This window comes from Homo sapiens, chromosome X (assembly GCF_000001405.40).
Source record: "Homo sapiens chromosome X, GRCh38.p14 Primary Assembly".
Lineage (NCBI taxonomy): Eukaryota > Metazoa > Chordata > Mammalia > Primates > Hominidae > Homo > Homo sapiens.
Genome location: NC_000023.11, coordinates 100,468,413 through 100,469,887, shown reverse-complemented (window position 1 = coordinate 100,469,887; position 1,475 = coordinate 100,468,413).

Genomic DNA, 1,475 nt, shown 5'->3' with positions numbered 1-1,475 from the left:
CCCCAACACTGTACGAAGGTTTCCTTTTCTCTGCATCTTTTTTTTTAACACTTATTATCTTTCTTCTTTCTATTAATAGCCATTCTATCAGGTGTGAGGTGATATCTCATTATGGTTTTAATTTGCATTTCTCTGATGGTTAGTGATGTTGAGCATTTTTTCATATATCTATTGGCCATTCATATGTTTTCTTTTGAGAAATGTCTGTTTACATCCTTTGCTCATTTTTAAATTGGATTGTTTCCTTGCTATTAAGTTGTTTAAGCTCCTTATGTATTTGAGTATTAGTCCCTTATCAATGTATGGTTGGCAAATATGTTCTCCCATTGGGGCTGTAGGCTGTCTGTGTTTTCACTCTGTTAATTTATTTCCTTTGCTGTACGGAAGCTTTTTAGTTTGATGCAATCCCATTCGTCTATTTTTGCTTTTATTGTCTGTGCTTTTGGGGTCATCTTTAAGAAATTATTGCCTTGACAAATGTTTTCTTTTAGTAGTTTCCTATGTTTTCTTTTAGTAGTTTCACAGTTTCAGGTCTTACATTTAAGCCCTTAATCCATTTTGGGTTGATTTTTGTATATGGTTTGAGTTAAGGGTTCAATTTTATTTGGCATGTAGATATCCAGTTTTCCCATTACCATTTATTGAAGAAACCATCCTTTCCCCATTGTTTATTCTTGGTACCTTTATTGAAAGTAAATTGAGCATAAATTCATGGGCTTTTTCTGGGCTTTCTATCCTGGTCCACTGGTTGATGTGCCTGTTTAAATGTCAGATTGCCCACACTAGTCACTTCTATTTAATATAGGACTGGAAGTCCTAGTAGAGTGATTAGGTAAGAAAAAAAATAAAATGCATCCAAATAGGAAAGGAAAAAGTGAAATTGTCTCTGTTTGTTTATAACATGGTTTTATGTATAGGAAACCCTGAAGACTCCAGCCAAAAAACAAAACAAAACAAAACAAAACTGTTAGAATAAACAAATTCAGTAAAGTTTCAGGATACAAAATCAACATACAAAAATCAAAAACATTTCTATACACTAATGACAAACTATCTTAAAAAGAAATAAAGAAAACAATCCCATTTATAATAGCATCAAAAAATACTTAGGAGTAAATTTAACCAGAGGTGAAAAATCTGTCTTAGTCTGCTTTCTGTTGCGTATAACAGAACACCTAAGGCTTTACTCTGTGCTGCTGCTGGCACTGTGAGCACATGCAAGCAATGAAACTCCATAGCCCCACTCCCATTGGTACTTGATCCCAGCCGACATGGAGGAACCCTGCTGTGCTGCTGTGGCAGCTGCCACATGCAAGCGAGCACAGATCTCGCTGCCACTGCCCTGATGAAGCATTTTGGCCAGCAACACCAATCAGAGTGTTGTGGCCAGCAGACCAGGAACACTTTAGCCCCTCCAGTGCAGCAGATTCCTAAACTCAAGGGACCAGAAAACAAAGCCAGGGGCCTGGTACCCG